General features: G+C 40.9%; 1 protein-coding gene across 6 annotated transcripts in view, besides 1 other annotated feature; it reads right to left on the bottom strand.

Annotated features, from left to right (window-relative positions):
- The window catches only part of MYRIP (myosin VIIA and Rab interacting protein), a 451408-nt gene that overhangs the window by 223321 nt on the left and 201087 nt on the right, over positions 1-27000 (bottom strand). The gene's annotated exons all lie outside the window — the stretch shown is intronic.
- Positions 14132-14646: an enhancer, noted in NCBI's record as "NANOG hESC enhancer chr3:40063846-40064360 (GRCh37/hg19 assembly coordinates)". NCBI's record gives its function as "activates a minimal SCP1, AML or CMV promoter by ChIP-STARR-seq in naive H9 embryonic stem cells {active_cell/tissue: H9 hESC(naive)}" and the evidence as "EXISTENCE:reporter gene assay evidence [ECO:0000049][PMID:30033119]".

Below are 27000 nucleotides of genomic sequence, written 5' to 3'. Positions count from 1 at the left end.
TTCATTATGATTAGGCATTTTATGTTTCATTTCTTTTAGTGGTTAGCTTTAATATATTAACATGCATATTTGGACTAATGTATAAAGTTAACAGATGTCTCGTCATCAACAATACAAACTTTAATTTCCTCTGGTGTTCTACATGGCTATTGATTTAATGTTGGTTTGTAATTGCAAAAATTATGCTTAATATTGTTTGATTGAAGTTTTAGCCACCCCACATGAAGAAGACTAGGGCCTGCCCTGAGAATGAAAGTCCTAAAGATAGGAAACTCAACTAGTGTCATTTCCTTCATCTAAGTATCAATGCTTCTCCAGCATCTCGTGCATCTGGTTGCAAATGGGGTGTTCTAAGGCAATATATACTTCCTTCAGAAAGCGTATTTTTTATTTGCAGGAGTGTTGGTCCAACAGAAGCTTACTCAGCAATCATCAATAGCAGAACTCTTGCTATTTTAAATTGATTTTTGTAGAGATTTATACACATTTAACAATTTTGTTGCCCATTATTGCTTCTTGCATCTGATTTTCCTTCTGTTAATTTTCTTTATTGCTTCACTTCTTCTGGTAATTCTTTCATCAAGGTAAATTCTAGCAGCCTCTATTTAACCCTTACATTTCAATGACAGTTTAGAAGGCTGCAGAATTCCAAGTTGACAGCTCATTTTGAATAAAGTTTTTTTTTTTTTTTTTTTTTTGGTATCAGTTGTTGCAATGGGAAGTCTGTCAGTGTAATTCTTCCTTTGTAGAAGACTCTAACTTCTCTCACTGGTTAGTTTTAAGAATTTTTAAATTTTCTGTAGTGTTCTTCAGTTTCACTATGAAGTAACTAAGTGTGGATTTGTTTGCATTCATTTTGCTTGGATCTCTTCGTCATTTTTAAAACTTCATTAATTCTAAAGAATTCTCTAGACATTTTTGAATGTTGTCTCCTGCTCTATTTTCTCCTCCTAGAATTCCAATTATATCTCAAAGCTTTTCTGTTCTTCCATGTCTCCTAATCTCTTTGTTTCATCTCTTTGTATTTCTGAGATACATTCTGGGTAAGTACTTCAGTTCTAGTTTCCATTTTAATAATTCTTTGTTCATCTGCATTTTCTCTACTATTTAATCCTTTTGAAATTGTATTGAGTTTCATATTTCCAGAAGTTCTAATGATTTGTTTCCACTTAAATATGCCTGTTCCACTCATGTGCCATTCATTTCTTGGTTCCTATACCTTCTTTTAAAAATTATTTTAAATATACTTCTTTTATAACCTCTTCCTGGATTTTAATAGAAATTTTACTGATTTTTATATTTCCAGAAGTTCTAATGATTTGTTTCCATTTAAGTCTGCCTGTCCTTTTCTCCTTGGTGCCATTCATTCCTTGGTTCCTATACTTTTTTCTAAAAATAATTGTAAATATACTTCTTTTACGCCCCCTTCCTGATTCTTATATTCAGTTCTTAGAGGCGGCACAAATCCGTCTATTGGTTGCATCTATTAACTCTTGTTCCAGGTAGGTCCTTTGCTTTCATGGTTTGTCATTTTGATTAAGATAATCTCCAGTCAAGACTGCTTTTTATGTCAGTGCACCTTTTCAGTGCAAATCATTCATGAGTCATCACCAAGAAGTCCTCAATTCTAGAACAGCTTCACATCTGTTTCTCATCTTGGGGAATCCATTACTACGTGACTTATACAATTTTAGTTTTCAATACCTTGTTGTGGTGGAGGCTTGGGGTTTTGCGGTTTTGATTTCTTTTTCTTTTTTTTAATTTTTAAAATTTTATTATTATACTTTAAGTTTTAGGGTACATGTGCACAATGTGCAGGTTTGTTACATATGTATACATGTGCCATGCTGGTGTGCTGCACCCATTAACTTGTCATTTAGCATTAGGTATATCTCCTAATGCTATCCCTCCCCCCTCCCCCCACCCCATAACAGTCCCCAGAGTGTAATGTTCCCCTTCCTGTGTCCATGTGTTCTCATTGTTCAATTCCCACCTATGAGTGAGAACATGCGGTGTTTGGTTTTTTGTCTGTGCGATAGTTTACTGAGAATGATGATTTCCAATTTCATCCATGTCCCTACAAAGGACATGAACTCATCCTTTTTTATGGCTGCATAGTATTCCATGGTGTATATGTGCCACATTTTCTTAATCCACTCTATCATTGTTGGACATTTGGGTTGGTTCCAAGTCTTTGCTATTGTGAATAGTGCCACAACAAACATACGTGTGCATGTGTCTTTATAGCAGCATGATTTATAATCCTCTGGGTATATACCCAGTAATGGGATGGCTGGGTCAAATGGTATTTCTAGTTCTAGATCCCTGAGGAATCACCACACCCACTTCCACAATGGTTGAACTAGTTTACAGTCCCACCAACAGTGTAAAAGTGTTCCTATTTCTCCACATCCTCTCCAGCACCTGTTGTTTCCAGACTTTTTAATGATTGCCATTCTAACTGGTGTGAGATGGTATCTCATTGTGGTTTTGATTTGCATTTCTCTGATGGCCAGTGATGATGAGCATTTTTTCATGTGTCTTTTGGCTGCATAAATGTCTTCTTTTGAGAAGTGTCTGTTCATATCCTTCGCCCACTTGTTGATGGGGTTGTTTGTTTTTTTCTTGTAAATTTGTTTGAGTTCACTGAAAATTCTGGATATTAGCCCTTTGTCAGATGAGTAGGTTGCAAAAATTTTCTCCCATTTTGTAGGTGGCCTGTTCACTCTGATGGTAGTTTCTTTTGCTGTGCAGAAGCTCTTTAGTTTCATTAGATCCCATTTGTCAATTTTGGCTTTTGTTGCCATTGCTTTTGGTGTTTTAGACATGAAGTCCTTGCCCATGCCTATGTCCTGAATAGTAATGCCTAGGTTTTCTTCTAGGGTTTTTATGGTTTTAGGTCTAACGTTTAAGTCTGTAATCCATCTTGAATTAATTTTTGTATAAGGTGTAAGGAAAGGATCCAGTTTCAGCTTTCTACATATGGCTAGCCAGTTTTCCCAGCACCATTTATTAAATAGGGAATCCTTTCCCCATTGCTTGTTTTTCTCAGGTTTGTCAAAGATCAGATAGTTGTAGATATGTGGCATTATTTCTGAGGGCTCTGTTGTGTTCCATTGATCTATGTCTCTGTTTTGATACCAGTACCATGCTGTTTTGGTTACTGTAGCCTTGTAGTATAGTTTGAAGTCAGGTAGCGTGATGCCTCCAGCTTTGTTCTTTTGGCTTAGGATTGACTTGGCAATGCCGCCTCTTTTTTGGTTCCATATGAACTTTAAAGTAGTTTTCTTCCAATTCTGTGAAGAAAGTCATTGGTAGCTTGATAGGGATGGCATTGAATCTATAAATTACCTTGGGCAGTATGGCCATTTTTATGATGTTGATTCTTCCTACCCATGAGCATGGAATGCTCTTCCATTTCTTTGTATCCTCTTTTATTTCATTGAGCAGTGGTTTGTAGTTCTCCTTGAAGAGGTCCTTCACGTCCGTTGTTAGTTGGATTCCTAGGTATTTTATTCTCTTTGAAACAACTGTGAACGGGAGTTCACTCATGATTTGGGTCTCTGTTTGTCTGTTATTGGTGTATAAGAATGCTTGTGATTTTTGTACATTGATTTTGTATCCTGACACTTTGCTGAAGTTGCTTATCAGCTTAAGGAGATTTTGGGCTGAGACAATGGGGTTTTCTAGATATACAATCATGTCGTCTGCAAACAGGGACAATTTGACTTCCTCTTTTCCTAATTGAATACCCTTTATTTCCTTCTCCTGGCTAATTGCCCTGGCCAGAACTTCCAACACTATGTTGAATAGGAGTGGTGAGAGAGGGCATCCCTGTCTTATGCCAGTTTTCAGAGGGAATGCTTCCAGTTTTTGCCCATTCAGTATGATATTGGCTGTGGGTTTGTCATAGATAGCTCTTATTATTTTGAGATACGTCCCATCAATATCTAATTTATTGAGAGTTTTCAGCATGAAGAGTTGTTGAATTTTTTCAAAGGCCTTTTCTGCATCTATTGAGATAATCCTGTGGTTTTTGTCTTTGGTTCTGTTTATATGCTGGATTACATTTATTGATTTGCATATATTGAACCAGCCTTGCATCACAGGAATGAAGCCTACTTGATCATGGTGGATAAGCTTTTTGATGTGCTGCTGGATTCAGTTTGCCAGTATTTTATTGAGGATTTTTGCATCAATTTTCATCAAGGATATTGGTCTAAAATTCTTTTTTGGTTGTGTCTCTGCCCGGGTTTGGTATCAGGATGATGCTGGCCTCATAAAATGAGTTAGGGAGGATTCCCTCTTTTTCTACTGATTGGAATAGTTTCAGAAGGAATGGTACCAGTTCCTCCTTGTACCTCTGGTAGAATTCGGCTGTGAATCCATTTTGTCCTGGACTCTTTTTGGTTGGTAAGCTATTGATTATTGCCACAATTTCAGAGCCTGCACCAAGTGGACCTAATAGACATCTACAGAACTCTCCACCCCAAATCAACAGAATATACATTTTTTTCAGCACCACACCACACCTATTCAAAAATTGACCACATAGTTGGAAGTAAAGCTCTCCTCAGCAAATGTAAAAGAACAGAAAGTATAACAAACTGTCTCTCAGACCACAGTGCAATCAAACTAGAACTCAGGATTAAGAAACTCACTCAAAACCGCTCAACTACATGGAAACTGAACAACCTGCTCCTGAATGACTACTACATGGAAACTGAACAACCTGCTCCTGAATGACTACTGGGTACATAACGAAATGAAGACAGAAATAAAGATGCTCTTTGAAACCAACGAGAACAAAGACACAACATACCAGAATCTCTGGGACACATTCAAAGCAGTGTGTAGAGGGAAATTTATAGCACTAAATGCCCACAAGAGAAAGCAGGAAAGATCCAAAATGGACACCCTAACATCACAATTAAAAGAACTAGAAAAGCAAGAGCAAACACATTCAAAAGCTAGCAGAAGGCATGAAATAACTAAAATCAGAGCAGAACTGAAGGAAATAGAGACACAAAAAACCCTTCAAAAAATTAATGAATCCAGGAGCTGGTTTTTTGAAAGGATCAACAAAATTGATAGACGGCTAGCAAGACTAATAAAGAAGAAAAGAGAGAAGAATCAAATAGACGCAATAAAAAATGATAAAGGGGATATCACCACCAATCCCACAGAAATACAAACTACCATCAGAGAATACTATAAACACCTCTACGCAAATAAACTAGAAAATCTAGAAGAAATGGATAAATTCCTCGACACATACACCCTCCCAAGACTAAACCAGGAAGAAGTTGAATCTCTGAATAGAGGTTTTGATTTCTTATGGGAGACTTCATTTCTCTCACCCAATGGTCCAGGTAAAGAAACTTTTTTTGTAGATCCGCTAAGCCAGTAGGCAAAATTTTTCTGGGTTCTCTTTCACTAAGAGTACAGCCCTTCAAGACCAAACTCTAAGCAGGCATCTCATTTTCAGCTGCCTTGTCTTGCAAAGGCTCAAGGCCACATCTCCTGCCCCATTCAGAAATTAGCATTGCAGCCTCTAGCCATCAGAACCTAGAGCCCTGTTTCCCACTGGATTAGACAGACCACTCTGGTTTTAAATTCCTTCTTTCACTTTTACCCTGCTGTGGTCTGAATGATTGTGAAAATTCTTAGGTTGAAAACTAACCCCCAGTGTGATGTTTTTAGGAGGTGATTAGGTGTTAAGAGTAAAATCCTCGTGAATGGGACTAGTACCATTATATATGGGACTCCAGGGCCGCCTTGCCCTTCCACGATGTGAGGACACAGAGAGAAGACATTATCTATGAACCAGGAAGCGGACAGACACCAAATCAGCTGACATCTTTATCTTGGACCTCCCAGTCTCCAAAACTGTGAGAAATACATTTCTTTTGTTTATTAGCCACCCAGTCTATGATATTTTGTTATAGCGGCCAAATAGACTGATATACCCTCTAGGAATTTTCCTTTCTTACTCCCCTCCCCAGACTTTGAAAAAATTAAGATATAATTCACATAGTAAATTCACTCCTCTTAAGTATATACAATTCAGCGGTTTTTAGTATATTCAAAAAGTTGTGCAACCACCACTACTGTCTTACTCCGTAACATTTTCATCGCATCAAAAAGAAATTCAGTATTCATGAAGCATTCTCCCCTGCCCTCAGCCTCTGCAAACCACTAATCTACTTTCTGTTTCTATGAGTTTGCCTATTCTGAACATTTTATATAAATGAAGTAATATCATATGTGGCCTTCTGTGTCTGGCTTCTTTCACTTTGCATAATGTGTTCAACGTTTATCCATGTTGTAGCATGCATCAACATTTCATTCCTTTTTACTGCTAAATAATATTCAATTTATGGATATACCATTTTATTTATCCATTCATTCACCATAAACATTTACATTGTTTCTAATTTTTGGTTATTATGATGAGTGCTGATATAAACATTCATGTACATGTTTTTGTGTGGACGTGTATTTTTAATTATAGGAGTAGAATTGGTAGGTCACATAGTAACACTTTTTTTAACTTTTTGAGAAACTGCCAGACTGTTTTCTAAATGGCTGTACTATTTTACATTCCCACCAGCAAGATGTGAGGGTTCGAATTTCTCCACATCCTCCCCAATACTTGTAATTGTCTGCATTTTAAAAAATTACAGCCATCTTAGGGGGTGTGAGGTGGTATCTCATGCTTTTGACTTGCACTTCCCTAATGACTGATGAGGTTGAACATCTTTTCATGTGTTTATTGGCCATTTGTACATCTCCTTGGAGAAAAGTTTATTCAAATTTTTGGCCCATTTCCTTCTTTCTTTCCTTTCTTTCCCTTCTTTCTCTTCCTTCCCTTCCTCCCCTCCCCTCTCCCTCTCTCCCTTTCTTTCTCTCTCTTTCTTTCCTTTCTTTTCTTTCTTGTAGAGACAGGGTTTTGCTCTGTCATCCATGCTGGAATGCAGTGGTGGCATCATAGCTCACTGCAGCCTTGGACTCCTGGGCTCAAGTGATCCTCCCACCTCAGCCTCCCAAGTAGCTGGGACTACAGGCATGTTACACCTGGCTAATTTTTTAAATAATTTTTTTGTAGAGACGGGGTCTTGCTTTGCTGCCCAGGCTGGTCTCAAATTCCTAGCTTCAAGTAATCTTCCTACCTCAGCTTCCCAAAGCACTGGGATTACAGGCATGAGCCACCAGGACCAGGTGGCCCATTTCTATATTAGATTATTTGTCCTTTACTGGTGTGTTGTAAGGGTTTTTTATATATTCTAGATACAAGTCCCTTATCAGATACATAATTTGCAAATATTTTCCCTTTCTTATATTAAACCCTACATTTTATTAGTATTTTTGTTTGGTTTTAGTAAAAGAAAGCATCTCACCAGCTCATCTTACCCTGCTACTGGATTTAGAAATCTATGTATGTTTTTACAACTTCTTTTTTTACTTAACAATATATCATAAACATCTGTTCATGACAATCCAGAATCTTTGCAGCTTTAGCTCTTGGGCACCTTTAGCTGGCTTACATATCTTCTAACACATGAGCAGGGCTCACTGCTCTGCATAGAAGTGCCCGGTACTTATTTGTTGCCTGATTATTGTATAATAAAGGGAGGCTGAATCCAGAATTGTAAGTGAAAACTATGTCAGACCAGCTAATAATTCTATGGGGTAAAATATATACATACACTTGGCTGAATAAAATGTTAACAGGGAGACAGAACAGAGGTGATATTTCCAAGGAAGGAAGATGTTATTCAGTCCCTTAGATTAAAGGCAGAAGATGTGCTAAGTCATTGACAGCTCTGACATCTCTCAACAGTATAACAACAGCCTCAAATTGACTGGCTTATATCGATATCTCAGAGATACTAAATTAAATAGGATAAAACATCCAAAAAGAAAATTATTTGGGGATCATAAAGCTCTGTGAACTCTATCCATAAGATAACTTGAGCTTTATGAGTTTTGTTTGCTGATACACAGGACTGCAAATTCCAATGGCATTTTAAAGCTCACTGGTATCTAGTAATAACTGTACCAAGCCCTCTAGCATTTATTCCAAGCAAATGAGGTGTTTTTCAGGCTCAGTGGAGGAATGGGTTGCCATTCTTCAGACCATCTCTCACTTATTAGATTATATTGCCCTGTAGTATCTCATGGAAGAAGTCATTGGGCAGAATTGTATAGTATGACTTATAATGGTTAATTACAGATCAACCAAGAATGATGCAAGACAGGCTACCTGCTTTGAAATATCTTGGGAAAGACCAGGACTTCAAATGGTCAGCTACATGGGAAAGAGTGATGGGTTTAACATCAGAAGTTAGTGTTCATAGCTGGGCTCATCACTTACCAAAAAGTTCCCCAACCTTTTGGGGCCTCTGTTTTTCTGAGTGGCACTTATAATTTCTACTTCACAGGGTTGCTAGAGGTTTTAAATGTGCAAAGCTACAAAAGCAAATACTAGTCTTTCCATTGGATTAGAAAGAAATTCAGTGATCCAAGTATCTATAACATTTGAACATATTTGGCTATATGTCAAGAAGGTTTCTGCAATAGCGTCTGGGCAATAATGCTCAAGACTTATTTGTTGCTTGAGCACTGGGTAACAGGGGGTGTGAAGTGTTAGCTCACTGTGGCTTTTATTTGCATTTCCCTAAAGATGTTGAACATGCTTAGTCTGATCTTTAGCAGTATCTTCTTACATCTGGTGTAGTCTCCTTCTGGTCTTACAACAGGCATCTTAAAAGCCTATTAACATTTCATGGTCTCTTGGTCTATCACCACGCCAGCTCTGACAGGTTGTTAGAGGGTAAAGCATTCCGTGTTGAGAGGACACACACAGGCTCAATGGAGTTGGGTGTCATGATGAGGTAGCAGTGTCTGCCATGGGCGTAGCAGGAAGTGATGGCATGTACATCACTTGTTTGCTATCCTTCAACTCAGTTACCAAAGAGAGGGTAATTTTGATCTATAGCTGTGAGCTTGGCCCTCTTTTTCCCGCTTCCTGCCCTGACCCCCTAGGGTGACTCATCCATTCCTGTAAGTGAAGATGTTTGTGAAATTGACTTCCAAACTCACTTAGCTGGTCCCGCCCCTCCTCTGAGCTGCAGAAACCCCCATCCAGGTGTCCTCTTGACCCTGCCCATCTTGCCACCCCTTGATAGCCATGGGCTTTGCTTAGAATGTCAATCATTCTCTCAATTCACACTTATTAGGCACCTATTATTACAGGTGCTAAGGATTTTTTTTAAAAAAAGACATAGCCCCTCTCTTCATAAAATGTGCATTAAGGTAGGAATTCAGATGATAAATAATTAAACAAAACAAAGTAACTATAAATTATGAGGTATTCTCATAAGAATAAGTAGGATACTCAGACTGAAGATAACATCAGGACCTACTTTAGATTGGTGGCAAGAGAGGGCTTCTCTGGGGAAGTGGCATTTCAGTTAAAACATGAAGATGAGAAGGAGCTAGTCCAATGGAAGACACAGCATCCCAGACAGAACAAGTAGCAAAGAAAAAGAGCTTAGTATTGGGGGGAGACAGGAGGAGCACAAGTGCAAGGGGGAAGTTATGGAGGATGTGAGCAGGGAACTATCAGCCACTGTCAGTAAAGCCCACTCTTAGAGGACCTTGCATGTGTGAAGCATGGGGAGCACTGCAGTCATCTTGGTGAGAGTGACTGAGGTTTGGGCTGGGCAGGAGTCATTGGAGAGTGCAGGGAAGTGGGCTGATCTCTGTTGCACCTGTTGAGGGCCAGGAGAGAGGGCAAACCAGATTCTGGCTTGTGTAACTACGTGGGGAGTGAAGCTGTTCATGGAAAGAGAGAAGACTAGGGTGGGCAGGAGCAAGTTTTAGTGAAATCTGTGAGGCATCTGAAGAGCAATGCCAAGAGGACACCTGGATGTGGGTTTTAGCAGCTCAGAGGAAGGGCTGGGCCAGCTAAGTGAGCTTGGAAGTCATCATCATAAACGTCTTTACACATAGGGGAATGGATGAGCCACCCTAGAGGGATGGGGCAGCCAGGGGGAAAAGAGGGCCTAAGAACAAGCCAAGAAAACCCCAAACATTTAAGCTCAGGGAAAAAGGCTGAAGAGGGGAAGCCAGACAGAAGGACTGAGGAGGAACAAGGAGGATGTTTCAAGAAGGGGAGAGTGGATGGCTATTTGCTGTGAGGACAGTGATATATCCACTGGATTTGGCTGCATGGGGGTCAGCAGTAACTCTGAGAAAGGCAATTTCAGTGGTGGAAGCTAGGCAGGAGCCAGACTGTTGCAGACTGAACAGTGAATGTGAAGTGAGGAAGCAGATCCCTCATTGTTGCAGTAAGTTGGGGACCCTGAATGGAGGGACTGGCTGGAGCCATGGCAGAGGAAACATAAATTGTGAAGATTTCATGGACATTTATCACTTCTCTAATAATACTCTTATAATTTCTTATGCCTGTCTTACTTTAATTTCTTAATCCTGTTACCTTTGTAAGCTGAGGATGTATGTCACCTCAGGACCCTGTGATGATTGGGTTAAGTGTACAAATTGATTGTAAAACATGTGTGTTTGAACAACATGAAATCTGATTGTAAAACATGTGTTTGAACAATATGAAATCAGTGCACCTTGAAAAAGAACAGAATAACAGCGATTTTAGGGAACAAGGGAGACAACCATACGGTCTGACTGCCTGCGGGGTCGGACAAAATAGAGCCATATTTTTCTTCTTGCAGAGAGCCTACAAACAGACGTGCAAGTAGGAGAGATATCACTAAATTCTTTTCCTAGCAAGGAATATAATATTAAGACCCTAGGAAAAGAATTGCATTCCTGGGGGGAGGTCTATAAACGGCCACTCTGGGAGTGTCTATCTTATGCGGCTGAGATAAGGACTGAAATACGCTCTGGTCTCCTGCATTACCGTCAGGTTTACTAGGGTGGGGAAAAACCACACCCTGGTAAATTTGAGGTCAGACTGGTTCTCTGCTCTCGAATCCTGTTTTCTGTTGTTTAGGGTGTTTATCAAGACAATACGTGCACAGCTGAACATAGACCCTCATCAGTAATTCTAATTTTGCTCTTTGCCTTGTGATCTTTGCTTTGTTCTTGCTCTGTTTCCTCAGAAGCATGTGATCTTTGTTCTCCCTTTTGCCCTTTGAAGCATGTGATCTTTGTGACCTACTCCCTGTTCGTACACCCCCTCCCCTTTTGAAATCCTTAATAAAACTTGCTGGTTTTGCAGCTCAGGTAGGCATCGTGGACCTACCAATATGTGATGACACCCTCCGTGGCCCAGCTGTAAAATTTCTCTCTTTGCACTCTTTCTCTTTATTTCTCAGACCAGCCGACACTTAGGGAAAATAGAAAGAACCTACATTGAAATATTGGGGGCGGGTTCCCCCAATACCTCATGGAATACTTCTTACAGCAATGTTACAAATGCTTTTAAGAGCTGGGCTCCAAAGGGTAAACCCACCTTAGAGTATAACAATATTAACAGTGTTCATGATAATTTAAAAGTATACTTTGCGTTTAGTTTGTCATGGGTAATATCACTCTCCCATTAGGTACTTTCAGACAGAATCATTTTGCTGCCCCTGACGGTGTTATAAAAAAAAAAATCTGTCAAGGCTAACAGAGCCCTTGATACCACAGATTTATGAGTAAAGAAAATCAAATTTAAACATTCCCTCCAAATGTTAATGACACACAACAATACGCTTTGTGGTTACCAGTTATAAATGGAGGGGACCATTTTAATCCAGAACCTGGACAGTTGGAGCACTCGCCATGCCCCACTCATCCCACATGAGTGCTGTCTGATAAGGCTACAGGAACCTCACTAGCCTCAGGTTCAGCGAGTAGCTCAGTCAACATGGATGTTGGGAGAGACTGAGGGCTCCAGCTCTGTTCTTCACAGCTATGAGCCACTCAGTCTTCTAAACCTTGGTTTCTTTTTTTGGCAAAGAAGGGATATCAGCAGCATCCTGAAATGCTTGTTGCAGAAATAAATAAGAAAATGTACCAGAGTTGTGCAGCAGGCACCAAAAAGTAAAAGCTGCCCCATAAATGTCTGGAATTATTTCAGTTCAAACCAGCTAAGATTCTGCTCCACAGCAGGTGCTCAGAAAAGGCTCCCATCTCTCCATTGGATCATCTGGAATATTTGGCCAATAGCCAGAGAGTGAAATCAGGCACATCCACTCCTGACCTTGAGCAGGTGGAAAGCTCTCTAATAACCAGTGAGGGTATCTTAAGAGCATTACAAGTATTTTCTTGAAAAGAGCAATGAGAGAACAGCTGCGAGAAAGCTGGGATCATCACACTGTACACTCGTATTATACCACAGCATACCAGTGCTTCATCATAAACCTAGACTTTGGCCAGGGACATGTAAAAAAAAAAAAAACCCACAAAAAGCATCTAGCCTACAGAGGAGACACAATTCCAAGTCTGTAGGCTCATCAGATCCAGTGGAAACACGTGAAGTAGATATCCCTACCTGAAGTTGCTGACTGTCCCATCTCTCTCTGCACCTGCCCTCCAGCACCATCCCGCCTCCTGCACCTCCCACCACCCAATCATCTCCAGCTATGTCTGCTTCCCTAATCTCATGGTAGCTCAGGGCAGCCTCCTCCACAAAACACCATTTGACAATCACTATCTTCACAACTCTGTTAAGTGGAAAGGTCAATCTTATTTCCCACCTTCTCAAATCAGCCACAGTGCATACGACAGACCAGGATCCTTCATTTAAGAGCTATGAATGACTTCATTTGAGCAGTAGCCCAAGAAAAGTGGAGATGTGAGGGATGAGAATAAAGGTGGCTGACAGAGAATGTTTCATATACAAGTAGAGGAAGCTTCCTTTTCCATAAAGTCAGGTTCCACATGTCCTTGACAAGAGCGAGTACCCTACTTCCTCCACCACCCACTTTCTTATGTGTAGCCCATTTCTTCTTTGTGTTTAGTCTCACATAGGCCACATTAATCTTAGAGAAAACTGTGCCCTAAATCTTTATTAATCATCAAAAAAGTCACAAAATCCATGAATCACTGATAAACCCATGACACCCTGTTACATCCTGTGAAAATGGGCACACACTACATATTATCATTTTGAAAAAGGAGAAAGAACAGTATCTAGGATATAAAAACAGTTGCCTTAGTTCCTTCTCTGAGATATTAACTGTTGGGACCAAGCCTCTTTCTTCCACTCCCATTTCCATAGTCTCCTCTGTGTAGCACAGGGGGCTGGAAGCTTGGAAACCACCTTTCCTAGATTCTTCTGCCTGCTGTTGTTGGTTAGGCTCTGCCAATGGAAGGCATTTGTGTGAGACTGGAGGTGGAAGGGAGACGTCATTTTTCGGCTTTACATTCCAGCAGAGGCAGGAGACTGTGGGTGAATGTGGCTTGGTTCCTTCTTGCAGTGGGGGTCCCATCAGTAGTAAGAGTGGCAGCAGCAGCAGTGATGTCATCGAGTGAGTGCAGGCTTGTGGGATCCTACTTAAACACTCTTTCCTCCTCTTCCAACCCTAAGTCTGGGGCAGCCTGCATGGTTACTGATCTCTGGGTAACATTATGTTTTTCCTGTTGCTTTTCCAACTCTTCTAATACTCTTGTAAGCAGTTTCCCAAATCAAAAACTCTCTGTATGAAATATTTAGATGGTTTCTGTTTTCTTGATGGAACCCTGACTGACACATCAGAGAGCTGAAGTCACGTATTGTCAAATCCAGATTTTTTTAAAGTCCACATTCCACATGGCCTCCTTGACATCTGCACTTGTGACCATTCTGTTCTCCTGACACCAGTGACTCCCTCAAAGCCACCTGGCTTTCTCTTCAGATTAATTCATGTTTCATTCTTTCTTTCCAAGAGTTTTTTCCTTAGACCACTTCCTTCCTTGTTCTATATTCCCCCATCGAGGAGTGTAATCCATATGTGTGTCATAAACTACTGTTAATGTGCCAGTGGTTCTCATGTCTTCAGTCTCACATTTTCTCATAGGAATTGTCACTGCCTGGAATTTTTGCCTAGGATCTGTAACTGCCAGTCTCTTTTCCAGGTCACGATCTTATGTGGAATCAAACTCAAAACGTCTAAAATACTCAAAATATCTAATAATACATGTATTATTTCCACTCCTGTATTTTTTCCTAAAGAGCATAACTTCTATCCAAAGATCCCTCTGGAATCCTAAGAGTCATTCTCTACTTTTCCCTCTCTTTTACTTCAGGCTTTAATCTTGCATTAAATCCTACCCATTCTGCATTAAAATACCCTTAATGGCACCTTCCCTGCTCCTGCTCTGCCATTGGCTTAGCTTGAACGCTCCACATCCCCGACCTGCATTGCACACGAGCATTCCAAGCTGCCTTCAATGACCAGAGCAGAGAGATCTGCCTCAAAACAAATGTCAAAAACAATGCCTCCATGAATACTCAGAGCCATTTGATGATGACTCCTTTGTGCTGATCCCTTGAGCTGTAAAGAGTGCTCCATCCCTGTGCATGCCTGTGTCCTTTCCTCCACATGCTGTGCCATTCCCTCCCTGCCTTACTGACAAATTTATCTTTTTCCTTGAAGACTCACATTTCAAATGTCATCTTCTCTACCAAGTCTCTAGTTCTGCCATGCATAGCTACTGCTTTGTACTTAACTCGATTATAGCCCATACCACACTGAATTTTAATACTTTCCTTATGTGCCTTTGATAGGACAATGAACTCCTTAAAGAGGAGGACAGGAATGGCCACCTTCGTCCCTAGTACAGGAGGATTGGCCTGAATCATGTGGCTGGGTGTGCATGTCCTTTCTCCTCAAATACAAGTTCAACCAATGGGCAAGAGATTATGATAAAGCATGAGCAGTGGACAAATGAAAATTAAAACTTCCTAACAATTAATTGTTTAGGCTTCTAACACTGTAAAAAACATGTAGGCAAAACAACTGAACATTTGATCAATTCTTCCTTTGCATCTATAAATTTGGATCTTGCATAAGGCAAAACTTTCCGCTTTGTGTCTGCTTTTAATCTACCTGAAACTAAGCACCATAGGAAAGCTAAAATAATATTCAGACATATATGATGACAAGTGGTTTTCACATCTTCAGTGCCACTAAGGGATAGGATTCTTATTTCTGAATAAAAGATAAGTACAATATGTCAGAATTTAAAGCTGTTTCATTCCTCCTTCACATACTAATAATATATACAAATAAATTTCCAAAGTTCAAGCCTTTGGCTGAGTACAAGCACTCCTCCAGAGTTGGTCAAAACCTGTATCACATGGTGCCCACAGAAATAGATATTTTTGTCCTAGAGAATTTTCTTCCTGTTGTTGGGCACACTGATGTAGATTTGACCTTGAGCAAAAAAACTATCTCCCAAGAGAAATGAAACTGTCATCACGCTCTTGGTTGTTGTAAACAAGATAGAAATGTTCCAGACTTCATTCTGTCACTCATCTAAGATGAACACAGGCTCAGAGGATCTCTACAGCTCAGATCATCACACATTTTCTGACATTTAATGCATCATGCATTGTATGTGAACTCCTACTTTAATTCTATTAATATTTGATTAATCCATCTAGAAGAGAATATTTGTAAAGGTAAATGTCAGTTTGTGGAGAGATGCCAAGTCTCACTGGTGATGCCCTCTAGCTGCTAAGCCAGCTACCCCTCTGATGTCTATCTACAGCTGATCCTCCTAACTGGAAATTCCCTTATTACTGTATAGTGAACCACCTTTCCTAAATTTGTGTACAAAAACTATCAAAAAATCCTACAGAATGTTTTTTAAAAGCATCTTAAAATATTACATTTCTGTGACATCTCCCTTACCAGAGCAAAGGGGGGTAAAGGCTTCCTTGCCTTAGTCATGCTTTTATAAAAAGGAATGGGAATTATCTTTATGGAATGCTAGCATGTGTGAGGCATTTGGCAGAATTAATCCCTACAAGATCTGTGGAGGTAGAGAAGAGGGGCTTCCATGCTTTACTCTGCTTGCTTTCTAGAGTATGCTCATACATGGCTACACCCCATATTGGAATGATGAGCATCCAGGGGCCTGGTGGAATCCCTTCACTTGCACAGCTTCCAGAACTGAAGCTTGTTCATGTTAGCACTTGATATCAACGTGTTGGCTACAATGGTGTTGGAGAGGTACACTGCCAACAGTTTTGAGAATACAAGATACAAATATCAAAATTATAAATTAGAAAAATCAGGGGGGCCAAGAAAAGTGATTATATGCCTTACATATAAAGTCTGCCATTTGCTACACGTACAGTTCTTCCTGGGTGCATATACCATCTTTGCAACTGATATTCTGTACCCATACGTTTGAGCTCAAGGAAAACCTTATGATTTCCTAGTAAAGCCCTCCTCAGTCCATAGACAGTTACCAGGCCCAAAATAACACGTGCTACTTCACACAGGTTGGTCACTTGTCTGTTCCTGTCTTTAATGTTCATCTTCACTCGAAATTTAAGCACTGTCTGGTAAGATTTGTCAAACAGCCAGGGCGTTGGACCAAAGAAAACACCAAGGCACAAAACTCGAAAGGTGTAAGTAATGATGTATGAATTCTATTTCTAGAAATAAATACAATCAAGTAACTTAAACAGCTGCAACTATTTGTTGACTCTATCACACATCTAGAAGTAATAATTGGTAAGAATAAATTGGTATTAAACACATATTAATTCTTAATGCAAGAACAGAAAACCAAATACCACATGTTGTCACTTGTAAGTGGGAGGTAAACATTGAGCACACCTGAGCATAAAGACAGGAATAACAGACACTGGGGAGTACTAGATGTGGAAGAGAGAGGAGTTTTGGGCTGAAAAACTATCTATGGGTACTATGCTCACTATCTGAGTGATGGGGATTATCTGTATCACAAATCTCAGCATCATGCAATATACCCATGTAACAATCCAGTGCTTGTATCCCATGAATCTAAAATAAAAGCTGAAATTATTTTTAAAAATGTAGATTCAAATACAGAAGGAACTTTAAAATAATCCTAAAAGATGTCAGTTCAAAACATATATCCTTATCATCTTGCAGAGATATTAATTTTGTTCACTAAGTCCATTTGAATGCCCAAAAAGTTTTCTTTCCAAAGTAGAGTATCTCTCATTAATTTGAATCACTTGCAATGCTAATGGTAATGGTATTGTGCTAATGGTAATTCACACTTAAAAAAAAAACACATTTTATGTGTTGTCTAACAAAAAAAAGCGGGGGGGGGATTGAATTGTTTCCCTTATTCCTGGAACATTCATTCATTCTTTCATGTATTCATTCATCCAAGACTTTAAGCTCCTATTTTATGCCTGGCTCTCTGCCAGGTGCTGGGGACATAAAATAAATCACAGTTCACAGCCTAAGGGAGTAGACAATGGTAAAAACATAGCCACAGAACAAAGTCCGAGGTACAAGAGACAGGCATGTCAATAGGCATGTAAGGAGGCAGCAGAGGTGGGCAATCAGGGAGGTGGGGTGCAGTTTACAGAAGCATCGCTGCTTGTGCTAGGCCAGGAAGGATGTGCAGGAGTTCACTAGCAGGAGAATGGAGCAGGATATTGTAGGGAGAGAAGACACCTTGTACAAAGGTACAGATACATAACTGAACGTGGTGTGTTTGAGAAGGTATGAGTGGTTGGTTCAGTAGTTGGAGTCAGAAATAGTGAGGAAAGGCTGGGGAGCAGGTTAAGTTTGTGGTTGGTCCTAAGGGGCCTTGCACACCACCCCAAAGAATGAACATTTTTTAAAGTAAATGGGACAAGAAGACAAATTCATTGGCAATGATGGGCAATGAAACTATCAATCTACTTTAAAAAGAGAAACCTCTGACACAAGAGAATGGATTAGAAGGTTGCTAGCAGGATCAGAGGAGAGACATTAGTTAAAACTTTTGGTAACAATGATGGTTACAAAAGCTGAGAGCATCAGGGAAGACCAGGTAAGGGAACTGAAGAGGAAGTAATGAAAAAGAGGTTTTTAAGTAGTCTGCTGCATAGAATGTTGGAGCTCATTGTAGTGAGAAGCTGGGGATGGAAGTGGGGTTTCTGGTATGGGCTGTTAGATAGGTGAGGTGTATTATTATTTGGGATCATTTCTTTCCAGTATTTTTCTCATGCTTATTTTTTGTGACTAGTTTATTGATTTGATTGTCCATAATGTTAGAAGCATTGCCTATGGAAGTAACCTCTTTTTGGAGTCCCTGGATTGCTATAATTACTGGGCCTATGGGAAAGGTAGAAGCTGTGAGAGGAAGGGGACAAGGGCCAATGCTGGCAAAGTCTGGACCAGGGAGGTGGCAGTGGAAGCAGGAAGGGTGATGTGGGCATGAGTGACATGGTGACGAAACATTTGAGAGGATGTGAAGCCTGGGATACAGGAAATGAGGGACAGGAAATGAGGGACCAAAAGACCACTCATGTCTTTGGTCTGCATAACCCATATGATAAGGGGAACACACTGTGGAGAGGAAGAAGAAAGTCAGAATGAAGACTGGGGTAGCAAACCATGCATTTAGTCTCACTCACTGAAAGCAAAGTGAACATGTTTAGCGGGAGACAGGAAAGCAGACTGGATAGAGCTCTGGAGAGAGAGAGACAAGCACTCGATTTATATCATGGCATCATCCTTGTAAAAGTGGGAGCTGAAACTGTGAGTCAATTTCTGATGGTAAAAGAGCAAAGAGAAGATATTGAAGATAAGCAGTGAAAATTACCAATAGTTAGGGAGCAAAAGAATACAAAAGCACTGATGAAACCAAGAAATCTGTCAGAGTGTTGAGACAGAGACCAAGATAATGCAGTAATGTGGCAGCCAAATAAGGAGGTGCCTCCAAAAGAGGGACAGGCAACACTAATTCATGTACATCTTGCTGAACTATGATTGATACATTCATAAGGAAACGAGAAAACTTCTAGTTTAAAGTTCATAGAGGTCTCAATTCTCTCATTTTGCATGAGAAATTAGTTCATTTCTGCCTGTTCACAATGAAAATGCACAGTAACACCCAGTCACAAATTAACAAAAGACAAAGCTGATTACTCATTAGGCTAAATAGTGAAAAGAGGGAAAGCCTTCACATTAAAAATATACATTTAACCTGCTAAACTGAAAACCAAATTGATTCTTTCTCCAAAAACTCACAGTCTGGCCTTATTAGACATCTTAGGTACAACTGGAATTTCCGGAGTAAGTCAGTTCCTTGTCTAATACTGCTCACCTTCAGACAAAAAAAAAAAAAAAAAAAAAGAAGTAAATTATTTCTTTATTTATTTTAGACTCTCAGCTCTTTTCCAGGAAATCTACCTGATTAAATGAATTTAGGAAATTGTTCAAAGTTCCCTTATGTATCTTTTTCAGAAAAACTTCTGTTGGTGCTAGGTATTCAAGCAAAACAAACAGAGATACAAATATGAGTAATTAGATGTTCAAAAGAATACAGAATCAGGGGTCAGCTGGGTTGGGTTTGAGAACTGACTTGTCTACTAACAGGCTGCCTCATCCTGAGCAAGCCCTACCTAATGAGAACTCAGTCTGCTCATGCGTTCAGTAAAGGGATTGAACCTGATCAAGGGTTATGGAGAGTTCCAGTTTCTATCTCTATCCAGCATTGTATCTAAACATACACTCATCGTTTTGTAGTGGTCATTTGGAGAACTGTATTAAGAAGAATTCTGAGGGCACATCTAGATACACTGGGAAAGGTGCCTTGTTTGATTAGTAATGTTTGCTTCATTCCTGGATGTGCAAGGAAGTGGGAGTGCAGGAGACTTGCATTTGGCTTTGCTTAAAGTTCTCTTCAAATTTTAAAATGTTATATTCCATGTATAGGTATCCAATATTTTGTTAAGTGGCTTTAAATAGTAAATTCAAAAAGACAGAGGTCAGAAATTCCAGAAATCCAAAAGACAGAAATCAGATCTCTGTAATTATGTCAATGAGGGGAATTGCATGTGGAGTTCAAGAACCCATTAGAGTGTGATCTTTGTATGTATCCTCTCAGAATTTCCATGTCCTCACCTGGAGAAGAAGGTAACACCTGGCCCTGCCCAGCAACTCTGGCCAGCTCTTTACAGGAAACCTGACTGAGCCATGATATATGGCAATCTGTGACTTGTAATCCGCACAAACTTTAACTGACTGCACGTATGCTTTGTGTACGTTAATAAGACACTGAGGGGTTGGGAGACATTAAGTTTGAGATACAGTAATTTCAAGCTGTGACAATGACCTCTGACTTAGATCAGATTCAATAAGCAGAGCCTGAGATGGAGACTGTGTTGAAAGGAATTCCCTCAGGTGGGGAGCAGTGAGAAAAACAGGGCTGGGCCAGGACAACCCGCTGAGCAAGGCTGCAGTCTTGGCTGTGGTCTGGTCTGCAGTCGGCTTCAGTCTGACCCCATGGGGAACTCTGGAGCATGGATTACAGCACAGAGTTATCCCACCTGAAGTAAGAGGGCTGGGCTTTTTGTATCCTACATCAGCTGGTCATTGGCAGAGATCTTGCCTCCAAATTGGGAAAAGGCTTGAAGGAGGCAGATCCTGTTTGGTGGAGGACGACTGGTTGAAAGGGCTGCTAAGGGCTCGCAGCTGCCCCACACTCACAGAACTGGGGGATAGGCATACCTGGCAGTGAAGGGGTTCTGGATGAGGCACCAACAGCCATTACTAAAATATCAAAGCAGAAATGTGGAATAGCCAAGAGGAAACACAGGTCGGAGGCTCAGAGGAGAAGCTGGGCAGAAGATAAAAATGCAGTAGTCACCAGCATAGAGATGGGAGTGGACACAATTATCCAAGGAGAAGAGGACAGAAGGAAGAAGGGAGTCTAGGACCAAGCCACCTGCTTACCTGTGAGGCCGGTAGACAGAGTAGGAGGAAATCAGGAGGGTGTGGGGGATGTGGCAAGAATTCTTCAAGGAGGGCATGGCCACCTTTGCCCAATGCCAAAAGAGGTCAAGCAATATGAGGACCAAAATGTGTTCACTAGAGTTACTAAAACCACTAGGAAGAGTGGTTTCAGTGAAGTGGGGAATGTTATAGAAACTGGACTGCAGTTAGGAGTGGTTTGTGAGATAAACTTTCTTATTTACTAAATTTCAAAATAGATATGATGTTAGGTTATAGGTGTTGTTCAGTTTTATCAACAGTATTATCATAATAATGTCTTTAAAAGACACAGAGTACAAAATAAGATCAATTGCCAAGTGCAAGCATGCACAGAAGTCCCTGCTGCAGATACACACTGAGGGCTGAGGGAGGAACAGCAGATGATGACAACCTGCCTGGCTGTCCTGGCTAAGGAGCTTACCAGGCCATGCCACTGGGCCAGCCTGTGGCACCCAACCCTTGTGCAGAATCTGGCTCCCTTGCAGAGGGGAATGCAGGGCCCCCTAGAGCTCCCCTCCTCTGGCATTGCCCTGCTATGACCCTGCTGGTCCCAGAATCCATGATTGTGAGGGAGATGTTCTTGGAATGTTACTGTAGCCTCTGTGAAAGGTGAGCCTGAAGTGTGACTCAGGGTCATGTCTCAACCCTGATCAAAGCTTCTCTCACTTGTCTTTGCAGTACTCTGACTGGCTCTCCACTTGGCCCTTGCTCCCTGGAGCTCTCAGGTGGAGGACAGGGGCCTGCAACAAACCTGAACAAATTCATAACTGAACTCTCACTCACCTTGCAGCCATATTTTTTAGACCCAACCTAATTACTTCCAGATGTAATCACATAAGCCAATTAGAACTCTGAGATTCCTCACAGCACTGTTCTATGAGGAACCAGCAAGAACAAAATGCAACTTTGGAAGGTAGGCATCTTCTTAACTTGTGCTTAATAAAACAGATCCACTAAAAGTTGAGGTCATCTCTCATTCTTAGAGACACCTCCACTAACTGCCTTGCCCCACTAGGAAAAGCAAATAGAATGGACTTTGCTAAAAGATCACCAAACTCCCCTGGGCACACGGTCTGGACAGGTGAGATGAGTGTGAAAGACCAGGGTATGTTGGGGAGCAGGAGAGCCCAGACCTTCTGACCCAATGAAGTGCCAGAGGTAACTCAAGCCCAGACAAAAACTGTAACGTAAGGCCAGCATTGCAAATCCTCTAGTTTCTCAATAAAAGCTCCCAATTAAATTTTTATGTAAATTTTCCTGATTCAAAACATGTACATGGATCCAACAAAATGTATGTAACTGGGACAAGTTTCCCAGGTCACCAGCCTTTGAGCCTCATTATAAAATGACTCGACATGTAAGACCTTTCCAGAGAGATAGAAACTACCATAGACCACAATGGTGGCAGGAATAGGAAGTACAGGAAGAGTGTAAGGCTTGGTGTCCTCATTGTACATGTGAGGAAACTGAGGCACAGTGGAGGGATGACTGTCCAGGGAGTAGTGGACTCTGGTGTGGGTCCAAGTGTCCCAGGTACAGGGCCCAGGTTCTTCCCACTGCTCCATGACATCCTCAGAATGCTAATGGGGGTAATTGTTCTCATCCCAAGATCCCAGGGGATGTTCTGCTGAATGTCTGGATGTCTGCAGGAAAATAATATGAAAGATGGGAGTCAAAGAAACTTAAAACCATTATTTTGTAAATTGTGTAAACTGTTTCACATTTTGCTTATTATTTCTCCTTATTATTTCTTAAGATTTATTTAGCACAGGGAAAAAATTCAAATAAATTATACCAAAGGAGCCTTTTAAGATTTTGATCTTGGGAATTCTGGAAATGTTTACAAATCACTCATAATTTTGTTTATATGGGTAGAAATGGCAAAATACACATTTAATTAAATAAGAATCTTAAATCATCACAGTTTCACAGGAAAGCAAACCCAAAAAAATGCCTCCTTATAAATATCCTCCTAAACATCAAGTATACAAAATGCCCTAAGAGAGATGTTTCCTCCTCCTTATGAAAATGGAGTTATGCTTATGAATAAATTTAATGCTTATGGTACATCAATAGATTTTAGTGCCGCTGGCACTGGGACCCAATACAACAGGAGCTGTGTTTAGAATATGAACCAGACAGGATGAGAACAGAAGTGAGAAATTAAGCATCCTTTATGTTTTAAATTAATAAGCTGCTCACTGGCTCTCAGATATGCCTGAGCTGCCTAAAATGACAATGTGCAACCTCCACAGGCACAAAGAACTTTTGCAGATGCTGATTCCATTTAGTTGCACAGTGATGATGTGTGGTAGAGGCAGGCAGCCATCATCCCTCCATTTTACGTATCAGGAAACCAAGGCACAGAGAGGTTATGAAACTAACTCAGGCTCACAAAGCTAATGAGTGGTTAAGCCTGGGCTGGAATCCAAGCCCCATCCTGAAGTCCCAATTTCTCTTTTCCACAGCAGACCACTTCCCATAGTTGGTGAGATGCCACAGAAAACAACAGAGGTTCCCTCTTTCCAGTATGTTGCTGCTGGATGAAGACACATGTTCTGATCTCAGGGGAAAGTTTCAGACAGGAATAAGACTCCTTCTCTTCTGAACCAGCACAGCATGTGCACAGCTTGGGCTCCTAAAATCTGGGTGCTGCACTTTGTAAGACACTTCCATGATCTCTTTCCTTCCACGGGAATAAAAGGTTTCCTTCTTCCAGCAGAGACCATTCTGCACACTTGCTTCTCCTGCACATCACAGAAGCAAGGTACTGTTAAGGTTCTTACTTCTCCAGGATTGACACGAGAGTAATAATGGAAGTGCAAAAACGTGATTCGCTCTGTTAACCCCATGTCCTGCTTGTCTCACCCAGACCTCCCTCACTAAAGACACAATAGAGAAAGGTGTGAGGAGGGGGACATGGGGTAACCAGAGAGAAGCTGTACAGGCTGAAAAATAGAAATGCAGCTTGCAGCAAATAGCAACAGTGTCGGCAAGAAATGCAAAAAGGGAGTGTAATTCCTCCCTCAGTAAGTGCAGACCAGACACTCCTTGAGGGGAGCTGGCAGGGCAGTGAAGGAAGAGGAGTGGAATGCAGGTGTGATGTGGTTTTCCAGAGAAACTGAACCAATAGGGGAGAGAGAGAATGTGTGTGTATATATGTAGACGCATGCAATTATGGGGGCCGAGAACTCCCATGATCTGCTGTCTGCAAGCTGGAACCCCAGGGAAGTCAGTGGGGTAATTCAGTTCCAGTCCTAAGGCCTGAGAACCAGGGAAGCCAATGGCATAAATCCCAATCCAAGGGCAGGAAAAGATGAGATGAGATGTTCTAGCTTACTCTATGAGGCAGGGTAAAAGGTGGCAAATTCTTCCTTCCTCTACCTCTTGCTCTATCCAGGCCCTCAGTGGATTGGATGATGCCCATCCACAAGCGGGGAGAATGATCTGCTTCACTAAGTCCACCTATTCAAATGCTAATCTGACTTAGGAACTCCCTCACAGGCACATTCAGAAATCATATTTAACTTGGGCACCCTGGGGCCCGGTCAAGTTCACATAAAATTAACGACCACAGGCAACTTTGGTGAGACAAAAACCTAAGCTATTACACTTGGAGATGTCTCCATGGACTTCAGTATTCCAGGGGTTCTGTAACTGTTGGGTTTAATTCCATTTTAATATACTTAACTATTTATAATGTTGAAATAAAAAACAACATGCACATTTAAACACATCATGTATTGAATTTTAATATTTTGAAGCCACCAGTCGGTTATCTGGAGCTGCCAGGGTCATTTACCACTCTGTACTAGGTGGATTCAGAAGAAAGCTGCCCTTGTCATCTACACTTGATTGAAGAACATGACTGAAGCTGTGAGATAAACCGTAAAAAGAACTACTTATCTGTCTATATCCAGATTTCCATGATATTATGAAATCAAACAAAAAAATGCACATAGAAATAAACTGGGTATTAACATTGTTGTAAGACTACATCTGTAAATCCGGGTTTCAAATAGTTAAACTTATTAATATAGCTTCATTTTATTTAATTGGTAGTGTTTATAAGTAAGTATATATTATGATGTATAAGTAAATTTATGGAACTAAAACACCATTTTATATCTTTTACATATTGGAAATCAGCCTGAGATTTTTTTAAATGGATTCCTCTACTTAGATTGCAAATCACTGAACTAGGGTACCTTGAGGCTGTAGCTTTTGAGCTTTTTCATTTTGTGTATTTACTTATTATTTTATTGCCTGAAAGAATTTCCAAAGTTGAAGTAGAGATTGTTTACTTTTTATATGCCCCAGGAACTTTACTTTCCTATTCTAAATCTATCTGTCAAATTGGTTCATTAAACCAAAAAAAAGAGAGAAAGGATTCAGGACAGAAACTGTGTTTGCCTTCAGCTGCTGTAGTGCTTTGTGTGAGCTTAATCACAACAAGGCAGGTGTCTAGATCAATGCAATGGATTTGGGCAAACAGTGGTGAGCAACAGTGTGCAGAAGAAGACAGAGAAGCTCAAAGAATGGCTATGATGTTGGTACTAAGTTAAGGTTAGATGTGTATTAGTTTTCATTCATACTTGGCAGTATGAGATACTGAACCCAGAAGAAACGCCCAAACCATGATTAACGGTGAGCCTAGGTCACTGAAGGAAAGAAGGAATAGAAAGAGGGAAGGGAAGTACCCTTCCTCCCTTCTTCTTTAATGACAGAATCTTGATTTCTAGGTATTGCTTTCCAGAATGAAGACTGTGTTTCCCAGCACCACTTGCAGCTAGGTGTGGCCATGTGACTAGGTCCTGGCCTATGACATAAAAGTGGCTGTGATGTGTGGGGCATAGGATGCTTAGAGGGAGCTCATTCAGCAAGGAGGGTCACCATTTTGTCATTCTGCCTTTTCTCCCCCATCTTGCCCTCTGTCCATGCTGGTTCGAGCTCTAGTTGCCATCTTGATCTATGATTTGTCTTTGAGAGGCTGTGTAGATCAGAAATGCAGGAACTTGGGTTCTCAATGACATGGGGGAGCCACCCCACTAGTCCTAAACCCACTGCTGATTTTTTTTATGTAAAAGAGAAATGGGTTATTCACATATATGCAGATAAAACTAACTCTGAGACAGAAGAGCAGGGTCAAGGTCAAGTACAGCAAGAATGAGATAAAGTTGGCATCAGGAGGCAGAGAGAGGCAAGATTCAGAGCAAGATGACAGTGAAAGGAAAGCAGGATGGCACAAGAAGTCCAGAACCAGAACCAGGACCAGGCATCCTAAGAGATTTCTGACATCCTTAGGTCCCTTAAATGTGTAGTAGGGGCAGGGGAGGTATGGCAGCTTAGAGCAACCATACTGGCTGAAGAACCAATGCAAAGCATAGTAGAGCATGTAGAAACATTCTAAATGCACCTGGAATGAGGTGGGCCATGAGGTGTGACTAAAACCAACCCTGTTTTAAAGCATCTATCTTTACATGGACTTCTGAAGCCACCAAGCCTCACTGGTTCATGATGGGCTGTCCTGTTCTGCTCTTGGAATCAAGTGGAAGCAAGTAGGTCTATAAAGAACTCTCATTTCACAGGCCTGTAGGGTTTAGAAATGGTTACTGCTACCCGGCACCTCTATGGCTGTCTCCTACTAGAATATCTGGGGTGGCCAGGGCTCCTCTGCTCTTTCTCCTCCCTTCCAGGCACTGGGAGGCACAGGAAGCTCTGCTGTCCCCTCAGCTGCCACTCTCAGAGGCCAGCTTTCCGTGAGTTCCTGGTGACCCTAACTCCTCAAGTCTTGGCAATGCTTTCTCCTTGGCCTTGCTGTCTAGCAAATTCCCAGAAATCTGCTGGCTTTGTGCTTCAGAACAAGCAGTGCTGTTGCATTCCCTCTCGCTGCATTCTTTCTGGCTCCATTCCCTCAGGCACCCTGGATATTCTGCCTGCATATACAGCTCCCACCTTGGCTTGCCCTTGAATGGCTGGCCATCTGCCTAGGACCCTCTCATTCACTGTCCTTTCTTCTGAGTTCCCAGGACAGCATTTTCTCCCTAGGCTC

Source organism: Homo sapiens, chromosome 3 (genome assembly GCF_000001405.40).
Source record: "Homo sapiens chromosome 3, GRCh38.p14 Primary Assembly".
In the NCBI taxonomy this organism is placed as follows: domain Eukaryota; kingdom Metazoa; phylum Chordata; class Mammalia; order Primates; family Hominidae; genus Homo; species Homo sapiens.
The sequence above is the reverse complement of the archived record's forward strand: the minus strand, read 5'-3'. Positions and strand labels throughout refer to the sequence as shown.